At 38.6% G+C, this 19,633-nt stretch overlaps 2 annotated features.

Annotated features, from left to right (window-relative positions):
• Positions 16,223–17,422: an enhancer, noted in NCBI's record as "BRD4-independent group 4 enhancer chr9:32906490-32907689 (GRCh37/hg19 assembly coordinates)". NCBI's record gives its function as "activates an origin of replication core promoter dependent on BRD2, P300/CBP, MED14 and CDK7 cofactors, and independent of BRD4, by STARR-seq in HCT116 cells {active_cell/tissue: HCT116}" and the evidence as "EXISTENCE:reporter gene assay evidence [ECO:0000049][PMID:35650434]".
• Positions 18,640–18,840: a silencer, noted in NCBI's record as "fragment chr9:32908907-32909107 (GRCh37/hg19 assembly coordinates)". NCBI's record gives its function as "represses an EF-1alpha promoter that drives an FKBP-Casp9 reporter gene in an ReSE screen in phorbol 12-myristate 13-acetate-treated (for megakaryocytic differentiation) K562 erythroleukemia cells {active_cell/tissue: K562(+PMA)}" and the evidence as "EXISTENCE:reporter gene assay evidence [ECO:0000049][PMID:32094911]".

A 19,633-nucleotide genomic window follows, 5' to 3' on the forward strand; every position in this document is an offset into this window, starting at 1 on the left:
GCTCCTACCTCTGAAAGCTGCTCAAATTTCTCTGACAGTACAGAAAGTATAAAAGTGCATAGTGTTGAAAGTGACGGTAGGAAAATTATAATGTCTTCCCTAAGCCTGAGCTGTGCAGAAATGTCTACTCTGGGTATATTTGAAAGAATGAATAACCAAATCTGAAATATTCTTGTGTCTAGAGCATGGTGCTTGACAGTCTTATACATTGGTACTCTCTAATGTAAGCCCTTTAATAAAATCAAGTGTATTTAGCTGTATCAGTTAGGAATAATGTGCTATTCTTTGTACACTAAGATGGTGCTACTAATCTTATATGCGTTTAGCCATATATAAAAGGTGCACCCTGGTACCTTCTGGAGGTCCTAGGAGCTCAATAGTAAACCCTGAGTCTTGGTGAACAGTCAAGAGCTAAATGGTAGCAAATTACTTCCTTGATGTGGTACAGGAATATTCACTGCATAGCACAGTTGAGGAAAAAGATAGCAGGAATGTGGTGTGTGCTACCATCACACCTCCAGTGACCCTGACAGCCATCAGGAATCCATTGATACAGTCTTTCCTGCTGAACCAGGTATAGTCCCAGAATCCTTATTGCAGCTCCCCAGGCAGTCAGAGCTGGCACATGAGAGGAAATCTATTAGCCATTCCTACTCTGTGAGATGATTAAGGACAAAATGTTAATTTGGGGATGAGCAGGGATTTTAGTGTTGATAACGCAGAGACGAACGGATAGCAGAGTTGGCCTTCTGCAAAGGTCACAGACAGGGCATGTACAAGTGGCAGGTGGCAGAGAAGGTCCCCCTGCACATAATCATCCCTTGGAATCCACAGACCTCTCCCATTTTACCTCTTGGTGTTAGGCACTGAGTGTTGCTCTTCAAACAAAGGAAAGAGTACCAGTTCAGGAAAGAGTAACAGTTTGAGCTATTGCCTTTCATAAACACCTTAGTTCAAATTAAATCTTCACATCAACAAGCCAGATACTTGGAAAGACCCTGAGGGATTAGGGTTCAAACTGAATCTGGTTTGAAGAAGCAAATGAGCATGGATTAGTCAAAGAAGGTGCCAAGGGCTGGGTGCAGAAGACCGCTTCCCACCCACAGCTCTCTGGAGGGTCAGCCTTGGAACAAGGACGTTCTCCTTTGTAAACTGAGCATCAAATACTCAGGTGGCAATCAAAGTTCCACAGTAAATAGCTGATGAAAAACATCTGATGAGGACTTTACTTTTAGTAAATGAAATTAAAATTTAAGACAATAAGTTTGTTTTATCTTACTTTTTAATTAGGTTATAACTGGTGCAACCATGTACTAAGTCTTTGAAGAACTCAAATATTTATGCTAGGATGGCATAAATAGCACCAACAAAAAGGTCATAATAGTAGCATAAAATATCTTTCATTTCACACTCGATTTCTGTAGTACAATCTTAAAGAAGGTCACTACTCCAAAAATAGTCAAAGGATTACTAATTTACCAATATTAACATCTTTTGGTATTCAAATCATTTGCTGAAGACTATAATGTCATAATCCTTACTGGCTTTCTCTTCTCTAGTTGTTAATTTATCTGACTTACCCAAGCTTCATGTATGTATAATTTGAGCAATACTCCAACATCATTTTCTCCAACTTCATGAAATCCTGAAATGTTTGCAAGATAATTTCACTTCAGAACCTATTTATATTGATTTTGCATTTATACTATCAGATGTTACAATATCCATCAGTAAAACTGACTGGAAAAAATGTGTTGATAGGTGAAGAGATGGAGGTGCTAGCATTAAGCAGGAGGATATTTGAGAGAAGACAAATTGTACAAGTTAGTGAATGATTATTCTCATGTGATGGTAAATTTTGCTTCCCTATGAAACTACATAATCATTGTGAATGAGATGATAAACACTCAGATATTGAGGATGCCTGTATTATGCAACCCTCCTTCCTGGGCTACCGCTGACTGGATCAGAGAAGGACACCTGACCCAACTATATCAATCATTTTCTCTTTCCTAGAAATTTGAATATATATATACACACACATATATACATATATATGTGTATATATACACACACATATATACATATATATGTGTATATATACACACACATATATACATATATATGTGTATATATACACACACACATATATATATATATCTGTGTCTTGAGTCTTGATTGGGTGCAGTGGCTCATGAATGTAATCCCAGCACTTTGGGAGGCTGAGACAGGAGATCACTTGAATCACTTGAGGCCAGGACTTTGACACTAGCCTGCACAACGTAGCAAGACCTCATCTCTACAAATAATGTAAAAATTAACCAGGCGTGGTGCCACACACCTGTAGCCCTGGCTGCGCAGGAGCTGAGGCAGAAGAATACTTGAGCCCAGGAATTTGAGGCTGCATTGAGCTGAGATCATGCCACTATATTCCAGCCCAAGTGACAGTGAGGAATTTGAGGCTGCAGTGAGCTAAGATCATGCCACTATACTCCAGCTTGAGTGACTGAAAAACAAGAAAACTGTATCTCAATCCCAAATATATATAATATATATGATCTCTGAACTTTTTTGACTATACATCTCTATCAGTAAAAAAATTTAACTACATACTTTCAATGGATATATTTTTATTTACAAACTGTATTCATAATTACATTTATTGATAAATTATATGAATAAAATTTTTAAATCTTTTTTAAAAATGTAAAAGAGGAATGAAAGTATTTTTGTTGTTTTTTGTTTGTTTTTATTATTTTTTCTTTGAGTGAAGGTATTTTTAATATTTTTAGTTTATAACTAATAAAAATGTATTCTCTATAACAAAATTATAAATATTTTAATTTTTAATACTAATTTATTATTCATTGTTTTAAAATACTTCATTTAATTCTATGATGCAAAAGTTCACATTTGATGCTGTATAGGTTCAGTTTATTCCAAGAGTTGGTTTTAATGGCAGTACAACTGAAAACCTAATTCAGAGTGACAAACAGGTCCAAATGAAATAAAAGATACATCACTGGCCAAGTTTCTTATTTTTTAATCCCAACCACTATGCAAAGGCTTTTGTTGATATTAGGTTCACAAATAATTCTTACTTTCTCATGTCAATCAGTTCTCAAAAACTAATCAAACCCACTGACTTTCCTGGAGATGTTTACACAGTTAGAAAATTCTGTTTTTTAAACTACCAACATCATTTTTTACGGAATTAGAAAACAACCTGTTCTAAACTATATATGGAACCAAAAAAGAGCCTGAATAGCCAAAGCAAACCTAAGCAAAAAGGACGAAACTGGAGGCATCACATTACCTGACCTGCAACTATAATGCAAGGCTATGGTAACCAAAAGAGCATGGCACTGGAGCAAAAATAGACACATAGACCAATGAAGCAGGATAGAGAACCCAGAAATAATGCTGCACACCTACAACCATCTGATCTTTAACAAAGTCAACAATAACAATGAGGAAAGGACTCCCTATTCAATAAATGCTGCTGGGATAACTGGCTAGCCATATGCATAAGAATGAAACTAGACCCCTACCTTTCACCTTATACAAAAATCAACTCAAGATGGATTAAAGACTTAAATCTAATATCTATAACTATAAAAAACTATTGGGGTGATGGCTCACCCCTGTAATCTCAGCACTTGAGGGGCTAAAGCAGGAGGATCACTTGAACCCAAAAGTTCAAGACCAGCATGAGAAATGTAGGGAGACCCAGTCCCCACGGAAAAAAAAAAATTAATTAGCTAGGTGTAGAGGCATGCTCTGTGGTCCCAGCTACTCGGAAGGTTGAGGTGGGAGGATTGCTTGAGCCCAGGAGGTTGAGGTTGCAGTGAGCCAAGATTTTGCCACTGCACTCTAGACTGAGTGACAGAGTAAAACCCTATCTCAAAAAAATTAAACAATAAAACTAGAAAAATCCTAGAAGAAAATGTAGAAACATCATTCCGGACATCAACCTTGGCAAAGAATTTATGACTAAGTTTCCAAAAGCAAAAATTGACAAGTGGGACCTAATTAAACAAAAGAGCTTCTGCACAGCAAAAGAAACTATCAGCAGAGTAAAAAGATAACCTATAGAATGGGAGAAAATATTTGCAAACTATGCATCCAACAAAAATGCAATATTCAGAATCTATAAGAAACTTAATTCAACAAGAAAAAAATGAATAACCTCATTAAAAAGTGGGTGAAAGACATGAACATTTTTCAAAAGAAGACATACATGTGGCCAAAGAAGCATATGAAAAAATGCTCAACCTCACTAATCGTTAAAGAAATGCAAATCAAAACCACAATGAGATACCATCTCACACCAGTCAGAATGGCTATTATTAAAAAGTCAAAAAATAACAGATGTTGGCAAGGTGGCGGAGAAAAGGGAACACTTATACATTGTCAGGAATGTAAATTAGTTCAGACACTAAGGAAGCAGTTTGGAGAGTTCTCAAAGAATTTAAAACAGAACTACCATTCAACCCAGCAATCCCATTACTGGGTGTATACCCAAAGGAAAATAAATCGTTCTACCATAAAGACACATGCACTTGTATATTCATCACAGCACTATTCACAATAACAAAGACATGAAACCAATCTAGGTGCTCATCAACATTGAGTACACATGGACATAAAGATAGAAACAACACACACTGGAGACTACTAGAAGGGGGAGGGCAAGAGAGAGGTTAAGGGTCAAAAAACTACCTATTGGGTACTGTGCTCACTACCTGGATGACAGAATCATTCGTACACCAAATCTTAGCAACACACAATTTACTCAAGTAACAAACCTGCTTGTGTACTCTCTCAAACTAAAATAAAAGTTGAGAAATAAATACATACATACATACATACATACAGAGCAAATCACATAGATTGTGTTTAAAATTTTTTAAAAGAAAACTGTGGTTTTTGAAGTGCAGAACTATCAAGATATTTATGGATGAGACTCATTTTTCAACAATAAAATTGCATAGTAATAGAAACAATGCCAAACATCTATTTTCAAGATGTTCTTCCATAGGAAGAGTTCTTTTGAAAAGCAGATATAATACTTTCTCTCTCACTAACAAAACATCATCTTTTCCTTGAAGAAACAGAATAAACTTATTTTAAATAGCTGTTAGTATTACAGAAAAGGTCAGTGGATTTCGAATAAGTTTCTTCTTGAAAAAGAAAAGTATATAACTCATCTTTAAGAAAGGCCATCCTTTTTTTAACTTTTAGGTTCAGGGGTACATGCGCAGGTTTGTTACATAGGTAAATTGCATGTCATGGGGGTTCGGTGTACAGATTATTTTGTCACCAAGGTAATAAGCATAGTATCCAATAGGTAGTTTTTCAATCTTCACCTTCCTCCCACCCTCCACCCTCTAAGAGGCCCCAGTGTCTGTTGGTCCTTTCTTTGTGTTCATGTGTACTCAATGTTTAGCTCCCACTTATAAGTGGGAACATGCAGTATTTGGTTTTCTGTTACTACATTAGTTCGCTTAGGATAATGGTCTCTAGCTGCATCCATGTTGCTGCAAAGGACATGATCTCATTCTTTTTATGGCTACATAGTATTCCATGGTGTATATGTACCACATTTTCTTTATCTAGTCTACCATTGATGGGTATCTAGGTTGATTCCATGTCTTTGCTATTGTGAATAGTGCTACAATAAACATACACGTGCTTGTATCTTTATGGTAAAACAATTTATATTCCTTTGGGTATATACCCAGTAATGAGATTCCTGGGTTGAATCATAGCTCTGTTTTAAGTTCTTTGAGAAATCGCCAAACTGCTTTCCACAATGGCTGAACTAATTTACAGTCCCACCAACAGTGTATAGGCATTCCCTTTTCTCCACAACCTTGCCAACATTTATTATTTTTTGACTTTTTAATAATAGCCATTCTGACTATGTGAGATGGTATCTTACTGTGGTTTTGATTTGCATTTAGTAAGGTTGAGCATTTTTACATATGCTTGTTGGCTGCATGTATGTCTTCTTTTGAAAAATGTCTGTTCATGTCCTTTCCCCACTTTTTAATGAGATTATTTGTATTTTTCTTGTTGAATTGTTTAAGTTTCTTGTAGATTCTGAATATTAGCCCTTTGTTGAATGCATACTTTGCAAATATTTTCTACCACTCTGTAGGTTGTCTAGTCACTCTGTGGTTTCTTTTGCTGTGCAGAAGCTCTTTAGCTTATTAGGTCCTGTTTGTCAATCTTTGGTTTTGTTCCAATTGCTTTGGGTATCTTCATCATGAAATTTTTGCCAGGGCTATGTCCAGAGTGGTACTTCCTAGGTTGTCTTCCAGGGTTTTTATAGTTTTAGGTTTTGCATTTAAATCTTTAATTTATCTCAAGTTGGTTTTTGTATATGGTGTAAGAAAGAGTCCAGTTTCAATCTTCTGCATATGACTAGCCAGTTATCCCAGCAGCGTTTATTAAATGAGGAGTCCTTTTCCTGTTGCTTTTGTTGACTTTGTTGAAAATCAGATGGTTGTAGGTGTGTAACTTTATTGCTGGGCTGTCTATTCTGTTCTATTGGTCTATGTGTCTGTTTTTGTACCAGTACCATGCTGTTTTGGTTACTGTAACCTCGTAGTATAGTTTGAAGTCAGGAAATGTGATGCTCCCAGCTTTGTTCTTTGTGCTTAGAAATGTTTTTGCTATTTGGGCTCATTTTTCGTTCCACATAAATTTTAAGATACTTTTTTCTAATTCTGTAAAGGATGTCATTGGTAGTTTGATAGGAATAGCATTGAATCTGTACATTGCTTTCAGCAGTATGGCCATTTTAACAATGTTGATTCTTCCTGTCCATTCAATGAGCATGGAATGTTTTTCCATTTGTATAATCTTTGATTTCTTTCAGCAGTGTTTTATAATTCTTATTGTAGAGATCTTTCACCTCTTTGGTTAGCTACATTCCTAGGTATTGTATGGAAAGACCATTCTTTTGCCACAAGATGACCAGAAAACTTCTTGTGATTTTGCGTAATCGACCCTCTTAGTTTTACAAAATATTGGGGGTGATTCTGCTACTAAAGTCCTTGTTTTTATAAAATTAACCACATAAATGACCTCCTGTGTACTCTTTTGACTTCAAGTCTTTTCTAAACTAGATTGTCTATGAATAACAGTGAATGGATTTCACATAGGGAGTTTCTACTCTAGTCTTACCCTTGAACTATTTTTATTCTAATTATAGCAAGTACTCCATTAGCGGTTACACATCAGCATAAAACATTATTTTATTAAAGAGTTCATTTCTTGTCTGACAATGGCTGACAGCTGTGTGTCTGTGCATTAACCTGGGCAGCAGAAATGCCTCAAACTGGCTGGGTGCGGTGGCTCACACCTGTAATCCCAGCACTTTGGGAGGCCGAGGCGGGCGGATCACGAGGTCAGGAGATCGAGACCATCCTGGCTAACACGGTGAAACCCCGTCTCTACTAAAAATACAGAAAATTAGCTGGGCATGGTGGCGGGCACCTGTAGTCCCAGCTACTCGGGAGGCTGAGGCAGGAGAAAGGTGTGAACCTGGGAGGCGGAGCTTGCAGTGAGCCGACATCTTGCCACTGCACTCTAGCCTGGGCGACAAAGCCAGACTCCATCTCAAAAAAAAAAAAAAAAGAAAAAAAAAAGAAATGCCTCAAACCTTAGAAGTTCAGTTTCAATGGGTCATTTTGCCAGTAGCAAACAAGATGTGAGTGAACATTTGTCCATCGTCAGGAATCTAGGAGGCACATTTCCCACTTGTCCCCTTTGCAAAAGAAAGAAGCTGTTTTATTATCAGTAGAGACAGCTGTTACATTAACATGTGAGAAAGTATCAATTATCATGACAAGAAAGTACAGAGCAAAAAAAAGTGAGAAAAAATGATCACTGGTGGAATTATTTAAATCCTTTCTCTTTATCAGGGCTACTCTGCAGCAAACATCCTGTAATCACTCTGAAGAGCTCTGAAAATGGGTTATTTAGCTTCCTAGTCCTATGATCTAATGCGACCAGATGGAATTTGCCCTTTAAAAAAAACCCTTTTCTCTCTTTTGTTCTCAAGTGATATCACAGTAATGATGAGCTGGATACCCAAAGTCTAGTTATTAGTTTTAAATGCTAAAATGGCTCAGCCTACCTACACTCTCAAAATCATCTGATTCACTGGAGGGGATTAAGAAAATGTACTGGAGTGTTAGAATGGATTTCCAAAGGAATCACATGTTTACCTCAAATCAGAGGTTCTTGGCCATAGCTACAAGCTTTGGCTCTTATTCTCACCTTACATGAAATATTTTGGGATGTTTCTCACCGTTTCAAAGATTTGAAATTTAATTTCAAGTAGCTGAATAGAAATGACATTTCCTAAATTAAAAAATTAGCACTAACTGTATGACACCCTTCATACAAATACTTTTTAATCTTAAAATAAACAAAGCTCCTCTGACTACAAATGAAATTTAAATCAGAAACTGGAACACCACCTCTAGTAGGCCAGTCTTTCCTTGCCATCCCTGAGTGAGAGGGGTCTCTGGTAAAGGGTATCAATCCTACATATATGTTATTAGCAGCATTGCTTTCTGTTTCTTAAGATAGGATGACAAGAAATCTTGCTTTCTCAACCCTGTTTGGAGGTGAGAGTATTCAATTCAGCACACATGTGTTGAGTTCCTGCTTTGTGCAAAGACTTGGTCTCAATACTGCGAGGGCGTAGAGTTCATACTCAGGAAAGAAGAGACATATTCATTTAAAAAAAAGATGTTAGGAAGCTCAATATTATGAGTTACTAACTATTGAAAGCGTTTAGTTCCAAAATTCTAAATCATTAAATTATAACATTTAGTCAGCAGAATAATCCAGGCTAAAAGCTAAACTCACTTTTCTCCTTTGATCAAAACTAAAATTTCTGTAGGTTGAAAGTAGAGAAGGAAAAGGTATAAGGACACAGAAAAGACAAACGCAGTAAGTATGCTTTACTATTAACTGAGCTTTTAACTCTTTCATAAATATTATCTAACTCTGTGTTTGCCTTTTTGAAGGGGCACAAAATGGGGAAGTGGAGTGACTCAGGGCAGCTGGTGTTTTAATGACAGGTCCTCCAAGACAGCACTGGGGCTGAATCATCAGGATCTACTCTCTGGTCTTGACTCAGTCAGGTCTGACAGCACTAGACCCAAGAAGAGTAGCCTTTCTATGACAAACTCATACTAAATGAGCCAAACCAATTCCTAAAACTAGAAAGCCAATCTATTCATCCTGCATCCAAACCACACCTTATTCCACAGCAAATTTAAGGCCACTTAGAAATATGTGGGCAAGTTATCAGAGAAAATAAATCAAAAATTTAAAAACAGAAGAGGCAAATAACAAATAAAAATAAGACAGCAAGATGGCATTGGAAGTGAAGTAAGCTCACAATGTATAGAGAGAGGTATATATTCTTGTAGAATAGCCTCCTTATAGCTGGAATCACAACGCATATACAGTGAGTTACATGGTGGCACCATCATCGTATCAAGATACCAGAGGAGCCAATCAGAAGATTATTCAGAACAAAGGAAATATAATGGGCTGAGGAGAGACATTCCCCTAAACTCTAGAAAAACCTGAGATCTGGTTCCTCAAACAAGACCCACAGCTGCAGTAGTTCAGTCTCCACGCCCAGGGTTCCTCCCTGGACAGTGCCACAGACCTGCTTCTCTGCACCCACTTACTTGGGTTCACACTTCCCTTCACCAATACATGAGGGATCACTGAGGACATAAAGCAGCCTCAGGCACTCCACGAATTCCTCATATGAGTCTTAGACACTCTTTGTCTAGTCCCATCTTTATCTTTGTCTTTCATCAGACCAATCCTTCAAATGTATTAGGTAAAATACACTAGCTATGAACTAGATAGATGACTTTCTCAAAGACAACAGAAGTATTTGTAATCCATCAGGGATCTTGGAAAAGGTTAAAATAAGAAGAGTGGCTCCAGATACAAATTCTCTTTAAGAGATCCTACTGCCATCAATAAGATATATTCTAAGTTTCTGCACAAAACTTAGCATGCCCCTTGACAGTAATTCAGCCAGTGGGAATTACTAGCTATTTGGAATTTCAAAAGAAGTGGAATTTCTAAAGAAGAAATGCAAAATAGAAAAAAAAAAACCCTATGTCCAAATATATCTATTGTCAAAAGATATCCATGTTGTTTATAAAAACAAATAACTAGAAACAATCCAAATGTCTAAGAATTGAGAAACTGATAAGTAAACTACTGTTTCGATTGAGTGCTATATTATACATCACTAAAATGATGTATATTATTTTACATCATTTTAGTGATATAGAAGTATATATAGAAGTTCTATACTTCCACATATGGAAGTATATATAGAAGTTCTATACTTCCACATATGGAAGTATATATAGAAGTTCTATACTTCCACATATGGAAGTATATATAGAAGTTCTATACTTCCACATATGGAAGTATATATAGAAGTTCTATACTTCCACATATGGAAGTATATATAGAAGTTCTATACTTCCACATATGGAAGTATATATAGAAGTTCTATACTTCCACATATGGAAGTATATATAGAAGTTCTATACTTCCACATATGGAAGTATATATAGAAGTTCTATACTTCCACATATGGAAGTATATATAGAAGTTCTATACTTCCACATATGGAAGTATATATAGAAGTTCTATACTTCCACATATGGAAGTATATATAGAAGTTCTATACTTCCACATATGGAAGTATATATAGAAGTTCTATACTTCCACATATGGAAGTATATATAGAAGTTCTATACTTCCACATATGGAAGTATATATAGAAGTTCTATACTTCTATATATGGAAGTATATATAGAAGTTCTATACTTCCATATATAGAAGTATAGAAACTTGTGTATACATTAGAATTGCAACTTTGGGAGCTGGGCGCAGTGGCTCACACCTGTAATCCCAGCACTTTGGGAGGCGGAGGCAGGCAGATCACCTGAGAGCAGGAGTTCAAGACCAACCTGGCCAAGATGGTGAAACCTCATCTCTACTAAAAATACAAAAATTAGCTGGGCATGGTGGGGGTGCCTGTAATCCCAGCTACTCGGGAGGCTGAGGCAGGGGAATCACTTGAACCCAGGAGGCACAGGCTGCAGTGTGCCGAGATGGTGCCACTGCACTCCAGCCTGGGTGATAGAGTAAGACTCTGCCTCAAAAAAAAAAAAAAAAAAAAAAAAAAAAAAAAAAAAAAAAAGAATTGCAACTTTTGGAGAAAAGTTCCTGTGCATGGGATAAGAAGGTTGAAAGGAAAATCAATCAAATGCTAACAATTGTTTTAGAATTATGGGATCAGGGGTAATCTTTTAAAATCTATTTTACAAATTTTCTTTTACTGTGGCCCTATTATGAAATATAGGTAAACAAATAAAAACATTCAAACTCACTTAAAACTTATGACACATATTGAACAAGTCTTTAAACTGTTGTAAATAGATAGATAATTAGATAGACAGATGGAGATCATGAGAAGGCTGTGTTCGTGAGGATATAGGAGAATATCTCCCTGGGAATCACTTGCAATAGGGAGAAAGAGTAGGGAGACTCACAGCAGGGTAGGAAGTGCTACAATAGTAGATGGGGCTGATACAGACAGGAGACAGGGAAGTACTTGGTAGAAGAGGGCAGTTCCCTGGCAAAGGCCCCACCCCCATGCCTGGAAAGCCGCAGCCCTAAATGGGAACAGGCATTCTTATTTTCAGGCCCATATGTTGCCTTTTGGCCTGCCAAGCCCTCTGTCCTGTACCCATATAAACCCCAAGCCCCAAGCTCCATGAGCAGATGAGCAGATGAACAGAAGAGCAGAAGAGCGGCAGAATGGTGCAGCAGAGAAGGAGAGAGGAGAAGGGGCATCTGAATGTTGAGAGGAGTTCAGCTGGGCATGGTCAGAGAGGAGATCAGCGCTAGATGGCCAAACTCCAGGGGAATATCATTTTCCCACTCCATCCCCCTTCTAGCTCCCCACCCACCCCACTGAGAGCGACCTCAATCACCCAATAAAATCCCTGCATTCACTGTCTTTCAAGTCCATGTGCGATCTGATTTTTCCTGGACGCCGGACAAGAGCTCAGGATACAGAAAGCTGTCACACTGGCCCTCTGCCTTGCAAAAAGGTAGAGGGTCCACTGAGCTGTTTGATATTTAAGCTGGACATGGATGGCAAAGCTCAAAGAGCGCACTGTAACACACACCCATTTGGGCTTTGGGAGTCATAGGCATTCACCCCTAGAGCTTCCATGGCGCTGGAGGCCAAGAAAGCACTTGCCCCAGCTCCTGCAGTTGCCCGTCTGCATGCTCCCCGTCCCATAAGGGGTTTGAGTGCTCACAGTAGCCAAACAGACCAGCCACACCCTGTCGCATGTCCTGTGAGTGGGGACAGGGAACTCCCATTTTAGGGCAAAAGCACATATATACTATATACTGCCTGTTTTATTATTGCAACTTTTTTTTTTTTTCTTGCTGGGATTACTTGAGATTTTTATTTTCTGATTGGCATTTCCATGGACTTGCCAAATTGTCTATAATGAACTTACACTACTTTTACAGCTGGAAAAACAAAGTCCATTAAACAAGAAACAGAAACCCAGGTGAAACTGTCAGCCCTACCATCTGCAGCATTTGGGGTCCCACTTCTGCTCAGAGCCCACTCCTCTCTGCCCATTTGGGATCTCCTGGCTCAAAGGCTCCTTAATCTTTAGCACATCCTATACAACTTCATTCTTACCTGAACACTGATAAAACCAAGGTGCTACACTATTTAAAAATCACTGCTTAGACCAGATAATAGTAAATACAAATAATTTCCAAATATCTCTCCAAAGTCATTTCTCAAAATAATCTCTACTAATCCCTAATGGAATCAAAGTAGTCTGGGACTCCCCCCCATCCCCGGCCTCCTATCAAAGACTTACTTCTGAGGGAGTTGAGAGATCTTCGGTTGTAAAATAAAAGATAATAATAAATCTAAGATCCTATCTGATTCTCCCCGCTTTAATTCCTGGCCTTTAAATGCAACATTTGCCACGAGAAAAAAATAAAAGTAAGTTCAGTTCATCTGTCATATTTCTGCCTTCTCCATTAAAGGCATCTATTTTACATATTGTCTTGAGACTTGGCACTATTCAGAGAGATTTAAATAGACCTTGTATTAGTTTGCTAGGGTTGTCATAACAAAGACCACAGACTGAGTGACTCAAATAACAAATTTCTTTTCTCACAGTTCTGGAGGCTAGAAGTTCAAGATCGAGGTGTCAGTGGGATTGGTTTCGTTCTGAGGCTGCTCTCCTTGGCTTTTAGATGTTTTCTTCTCCCTGTGTCTTCACGTAATCTTTCCCTTGTTCATATCCATGTCCTAATAGTATCTTTTTACAATACCAGTCATATTTGTATTAGGATCTACCCTAAGAACCTCATTTTATCTTAATTACCTCTGTAAGGGCCCTATCTCCAAATATAGTTATATTCTGAAGTATTAGGGGTTAGGACTTCAACCTACCAACTTTGGGAAGGACACAATTCCATTCACGACAAACCCGAATCCTGCTTTCTAGAAACTTTCCATCTAAAACAACATGGATGAACAAAAACCAAATTAAGCAAGCACTGAGGAACTCCTGAATGGTGCTTTGGTCCAGTGCAATTAGCACTAGGATTATGGAGACTTTCATTGCCAATATTTTACCCTTAATTTAAATCATGTCATGAACCATGTCACCCAGGAATTTCTAGCATTATGCTTTTCTGTTCCTAAATCCAATATCACCACATGGCACCATAAGCTCTCAGAACCTTCATGTTGGGCCCTGAACTGCTTTGTAACTGACCTTTGATCCTCCCAGAAGGGATCTTCTAAAGTGTTACAGAAAGCATGATTTAATCACTCCATAGACACACCCACCCGCCTGTGTAAATAGGCCCCTTCTCTGCTACAGGCTTAGAAAACAAAAACAAGACTACTTCACGGATTTATCTCTACCTTCAAATAGCCCTAAGTTGCTCAGAAATAACAACAGAAAGGAGAGGAAGCTCTCCCTTCACTATACACTTTTTCGGTGTCTACTGAATTCATAGCATAGCAAAGGTATCATAGGTGAGACAAAGTGAAAAGGAACATAGCCCAGACTTCCAACTACTGGAGGACTTGACAGCCTGGCCACCAGCACACCTCCAGAAGAAATTCCCATTAGGTTTTGTGCTTTTTCCCTCCAGAAAATAGGTAGGTCGTAAGGATGCTCATGAGATCCCTTTCCCCAATTCTCATTGCCTTATCTTTTTAAATGCCAATCCTTTATTTTGACTGCAAAGGTTTTTCGCTAATAGATGGCTATCATTCACTAATAGGTGGCTGTATTTAAAATACAGATTTAAACAGAAGACATTTTCCCTACAAGATTCCAAGAATTAGTTAAAGAGAGTAGTTATGATGCAAACAACCTATTGACAAAAGCATCATCAAACAAAGATGTTTGAATTTGTCATTCTGATAAAATGACCCACAATAGGAATCTTCACAGAGCAAGTTTTCTTCCCCTCCTCCCAATTCAGTATATCACATCTCCCTCTCCAACCCACAAAAATCAATTTGCAGAGATAAATTTACATATAAATAAAAGTATGCCTGCAGGTTGTAAGTTCAATCAATAAAGCCACAAGCATTTGTTAAATGCTTCCTATATGCCTAGTTATGTTTTAAGTGCTTGGAGGTACAAAAGAGCTACATGGAATCTCTCTGGATTCATTTAAAACCTATTTTGTTACATTGAAAATGTATCAAACGTTCCAAAGAAAAAAAAAGAGAGACAAAGCCTCTTCAGGAACCCTTTCCTTTTGCGAGCCTTTGAAGCTCATGTTAAATACTATAGAAGAGTTTTTGAAACTTAGATTCTTAAAGGGAAAAATAATAGGTTGGCCTGAGGTTTGAAAGAAATGTTGTAACAGTCACTGTGAGGCATCCTTCAGGAAAAATAGTGCTTTCAGTGTTTATAAGTTATTCATTAGAAAACTCAGGGTCTAGCTGGCTGACACTGTAGGTGGCAAAGCAAAACTTTCATCCTCATTGGAAGCTAGGAGCTATAAAGCCAGGTGTGGGGTGTGATTTGTTTCTGGAGGGCAGCTCTAAATCACAAGAACATAAAGAAAGGGAGAGAGAACAAGAGCTAGAGATAGAGCAGCCTTGCTGTTTTGTCCATGAAAGGAAATGCTACATGTCAGAGGAAGAGCTGCTGGAGAACTCACTAGCAGAGGGAGGAAGCAAGGAGAAGACCTCATTTTGGGAAGATAATCACAAGAGCTCAGAGCCAATACCATAATTTTTAAACTCAAAAACCAGAACTGTACAGCCTTAAGACTCTGATGCAAATAAGATATTCAGAGTTAGAGACCCAGCATTATTAAGTAGATGATTATAATGAGAGAGTGTGTTTGAACATTTTTATTATGTTTAAAGATAAGCGATTACAGACGTCCCACCTTCTGCATGGTTCTAATGTGTACAAATTTCAGTTACCATAGTTTAGTTAAATAACATCAGTCACCCAACAAAACAACTCAAAGTGCACTTACCACTGTATATTAATGGTGAGTAATCACATAAAATACAAACTTTGCGCTAAACTAAGCCCACAAATCACCATATCAGTAACAGATGGGCATCATGATCAGTAACCAATCACATCACTTCTTTTAAAGTCTGTCAGTGACTGGTCACCAGGCATCTGTTATTCAGTTCAGGTACAGACAATAAAGCATAGAGTTGTATCGCCTTCTCGTCCCCAGTGATAAATTCATATAAAAGTTTACAACAAATCTGAAAGTGCAGCAAAGAAATGAAAAGTGGTAATGCAGAAAATTGAAATTGGTGTGATGAGAAGATTTGAAAATGGCAACATCAAAGCAAAGATAGGACAATAACTAGGCCTTCAGGAAGCTAGGGTATGAACTATGCCGACAAAGTTCGCTGAATATAAAAAATGAGGTAAAGCAGCTTCAACATATTTTAGCTTAAATTGCAGTAGGAAGAGAAAGCCACATGTGGTTGAAATGGAGTGCTTACTTCTGCTTTTGTGTCCGCAATTGGTTCCTTCCAGTGGGTTCTTGGTCTCACTGACTTCAAGAATGAAGCCGTGGACTCTACAGTGAGTGTTACAGTTCTTAAAGATGTCGTGTCTGGAGTTTGTTCCTTCAGATGTTCAGATGTGTCTGGAGTTTCTTCTTTCTGATGGGTTCGTGGTCTATGCTGACTTCATGAGTAAAGCTGCAGACCTTCGCAGTGAGTGTTACAACTCTTAAAGGTGGTGCGGACCCAAAGAATGACCAGCAGCGAGACTTATTGCTAAGAGCGAAAGAACAAAACTTCTACACCCTGGAAGGGGACCCGAGGAGGTTGCCACTGGTGGCTGGGGTGACCTGCTTTTTATTCCTTTATTTGGTCCCGCTCACATCCTGCTGATTGGTCCATTTTACAGAGAGCTGATTGGTCCATTTTACAGAGAGCCGAATGGTCCATTTTTACAAGTGCTGATTGGTGTGTTTACAAACCTTTAGCTAGACACAGAGCGCTGATTGGTGCGTTTTTACAGAGTGCTGATTGGTGCATTTACAAACCTTTAACTAGACACAGAGCGCTGATTGGTGCATTTACAATCCTTTAGCTAGACAGAAAAGTTCTCCAGGTCCCCACCTGATTAGCTAGACACAGAGCACTGATTGGTGCGTTTTTACAGAGTGCTGATTGGTGCGTTTACAAACCTTTAACTAGACACAGAGCACTGATTGGTGCATTTACAATCCTTTAGCTAGACAGAAAAGTTCTCCAGGTCCCCACCGGATTAGCTAGACACAGAGCACTGATTGGTGAGTCTACGAACCTTTAGCTAGACACAGAGCGCTGACTGGTGCATTTACAAAATCCTTTAGCTAGACAGAAAAGTTCTCCAAGTCCCCACCCGACCCAGAAGTCCAGTCAGCTTCACCTCTCACTTTGAATCGAGGGCTGCAATAAAACATAATCTCAATCAGTTCAGCTAGCATCCCAAAGTGTGATCATTGCCATGCTGAAAGAAAACAGTGATTCTAAGGAAGCCAAAGAAACTTCTACTGCCAATAAAGACTGGTTTCATCATTTCAGATGCCAGAATGAATGATTTACAGTAAGCTATCTGATTAAGTAGCTGGTGAAAATAAGTTTTCTGCCGTGAAATTTGAAACAAGATTTCAAGAATTAGTTAAGGAAAGTAGGTTATGATGCTCTCAAACAAGAGAGTGGCTATGACAAAAGCACAAAGATGTCCCAGAGAAAGGGATGCTGGCAAAAATGTCAGGTTAAAGAAACTCTCAAAGATATTTCACAACCTTGAAAGTGCAGAGGATAAAATGTTAAAAGTGAATCCAAACTTGAAAGGATGGTGACAATTTGCCAAGGAATAAAAAAGGATGAAATACCGGGAAGGGCTACAACGTGGAGAAACCTTGAAACATTATGCAAAGCCAGTCATAAAAGACCACTTACTATCTGATTCCATTTATATGAAATGTCCAGAATAGGCAAATCTATATAGATACAGAAAGTAGATTAATGGTTGTCTAGGGCTGAGGAGGGTATGATGAGAGGGTAGGAGGGTGATAGATAAAGGGTCTGAGATTTAAACTGTCTGTTTAACATTATCAGAGAGCTGTCAAAAATATCCAGAATTTGAAAGGCTAAGATTCCAAAGAAAAAAGAAGCTGACTAAGTGAGTCCAATATTCTTTATACCTCTTTCGCCCTCAAGGCATTAATGACTCCTAGGGTGGCCGGGGTTGTAGGGGGTCAGGGAGTAGGGTTGCTGAGAAGGCAGGCAGAGAATGAATGCTAAGAGGCAAAGAAGCTGGCAATCTTGTGGAGCTGGGTTGGAGCCTGCCAAGACAGCCAGGACCTAAATAGCCAAGATTCCTGAAGAGAGGAGGCCTGGGGAAGACAGCCTGATACTCAGTAACTTTCCCTTCAACACTGAAAAAATAGGAATAATTATCTAGCAAGACCAATAAAAAAAGAGAAATCAAGCACAAATTACATAAGTAAGGGAACAAAAATGGCCTCACTACAAAAATGGCCTACACCCCACAAACATCAAAGAGTTACTAATGGGATATTAGAACAACCCTAGGCCAATAAATTTGGAAAATTAGATGAAATGGACAAACTCCTGGAAAAATAAAACTTATTAAAACTGCCTCAGAAAGATCAGAAAATCTGAATGGTGCTTTAGCTATTAAAGAAACTGAATCTATCATTTTAAGTCTTTCCACAAAGGAATCTCCAGATCCAGTTGGTTGTACTGATGAATTCTTCCACTGAGGAAGAAGAAAGACTAATACTAAGAAACTTCTCTCAGAGAAAACAATCTATAAATAAGGGAACTGATCAAGTTTACTAGTAAACAAGATCAATATACAACAAAACACCAAAAATAAACTACTAAAAATGAAATTTGAGGCCGGGCATGGTGGCTTACGCCTATAATCCTAGCACTTTGAGAGGCCAAGGCAGGTGGATTGCTTCAGCTCAGGAGTTCAAGACTAGCATGGGCAACGTGGCAAGACCCATCTCTACAAAAAATACAAAAATTAGCCAGGCATGGTGGCGCATGCCTGTAGTTCCAGCTACTTGGGAGGCTGAGGCAGGAGGATGGCTTGAGCCCAAGAGGTGAGGTTACAGTGAGCCAAGATCGTGCCACTGCACTCCAGCCTGGACAACAGAGTGAAAATGATATGATAGTGGCTCTCATCTGCTCCCCGCACCCGACCACTGGGGCAGATTTTAATTTTTTAAAAATAATCATCTGATGCTGAATTTAAAACTTTGGAGGGAATCAAAAGAGAAGGTCTTGCACTCCTGTTATCCAAGAGACATAAATACATGTGTGTTTTCCTTTTAGGCCGAAAACAAGAACAACATTCCTGGCATTCAACTACAAGGAAGCCCAATACCCCGGGTGCCATAAGACTTCCAGTATGCCTGCCTGAGCTTTGAAAGAGAGGAGAGGAAGCCAAGTCATCCAGCAGATCGGACCCACAAGCTCATCCTCTAGTTTTTTTCAAGGGGCACCATTCCTGTAAGGAAAGCTTTCTTGGGCTTGGCTGTAGAATCTTCCAGAAATGTAAACAAAAGAGTAAGAGCCAAAGACCAAGAACCCTGGCTGGTGAGAGTCAGAGGGCCAGAATTTAGTGTAAAGCCCGCTCTAAAGACTGTTAACACTTCCTTTCCACCACTGCATCGATGATTGTTTGAAAAAGTGATTGTTTGTGATAGACTGGATTAAGAAAATGTGGCACATATACACCATGGAATACTATGCAGCCATAAAAAATGATGAGTTCATGTCCTTTGTAGGGACATGGATGAAATTGGAAATATCATTCTCAGTAAACTATCGCAAGGACAAAAAACCAAACACCGGATGTTCTCACTCATAGGTGGGAATTGAATAATGAGAACACGTGGACACAGGAAGGGGAACATCACACTCTGGGAACTGTTGTGGGGTGGGGGGAGAGGGAAGGGATAGCATTAGGAGATATAC

Source organism: Homo sapiens, chromosome 9 (assembly GCF_000001405.40).
Source record: "Homo sapiens chromosome 9, GRCh38.p14 Primary Assembly".
Taxonomy (NCBI): domain Eukaryota; kingdom Metazoa; phylum Chordata; class Mammalia; order Primates; family Hominidae; genus Homo; species Homo sapiens.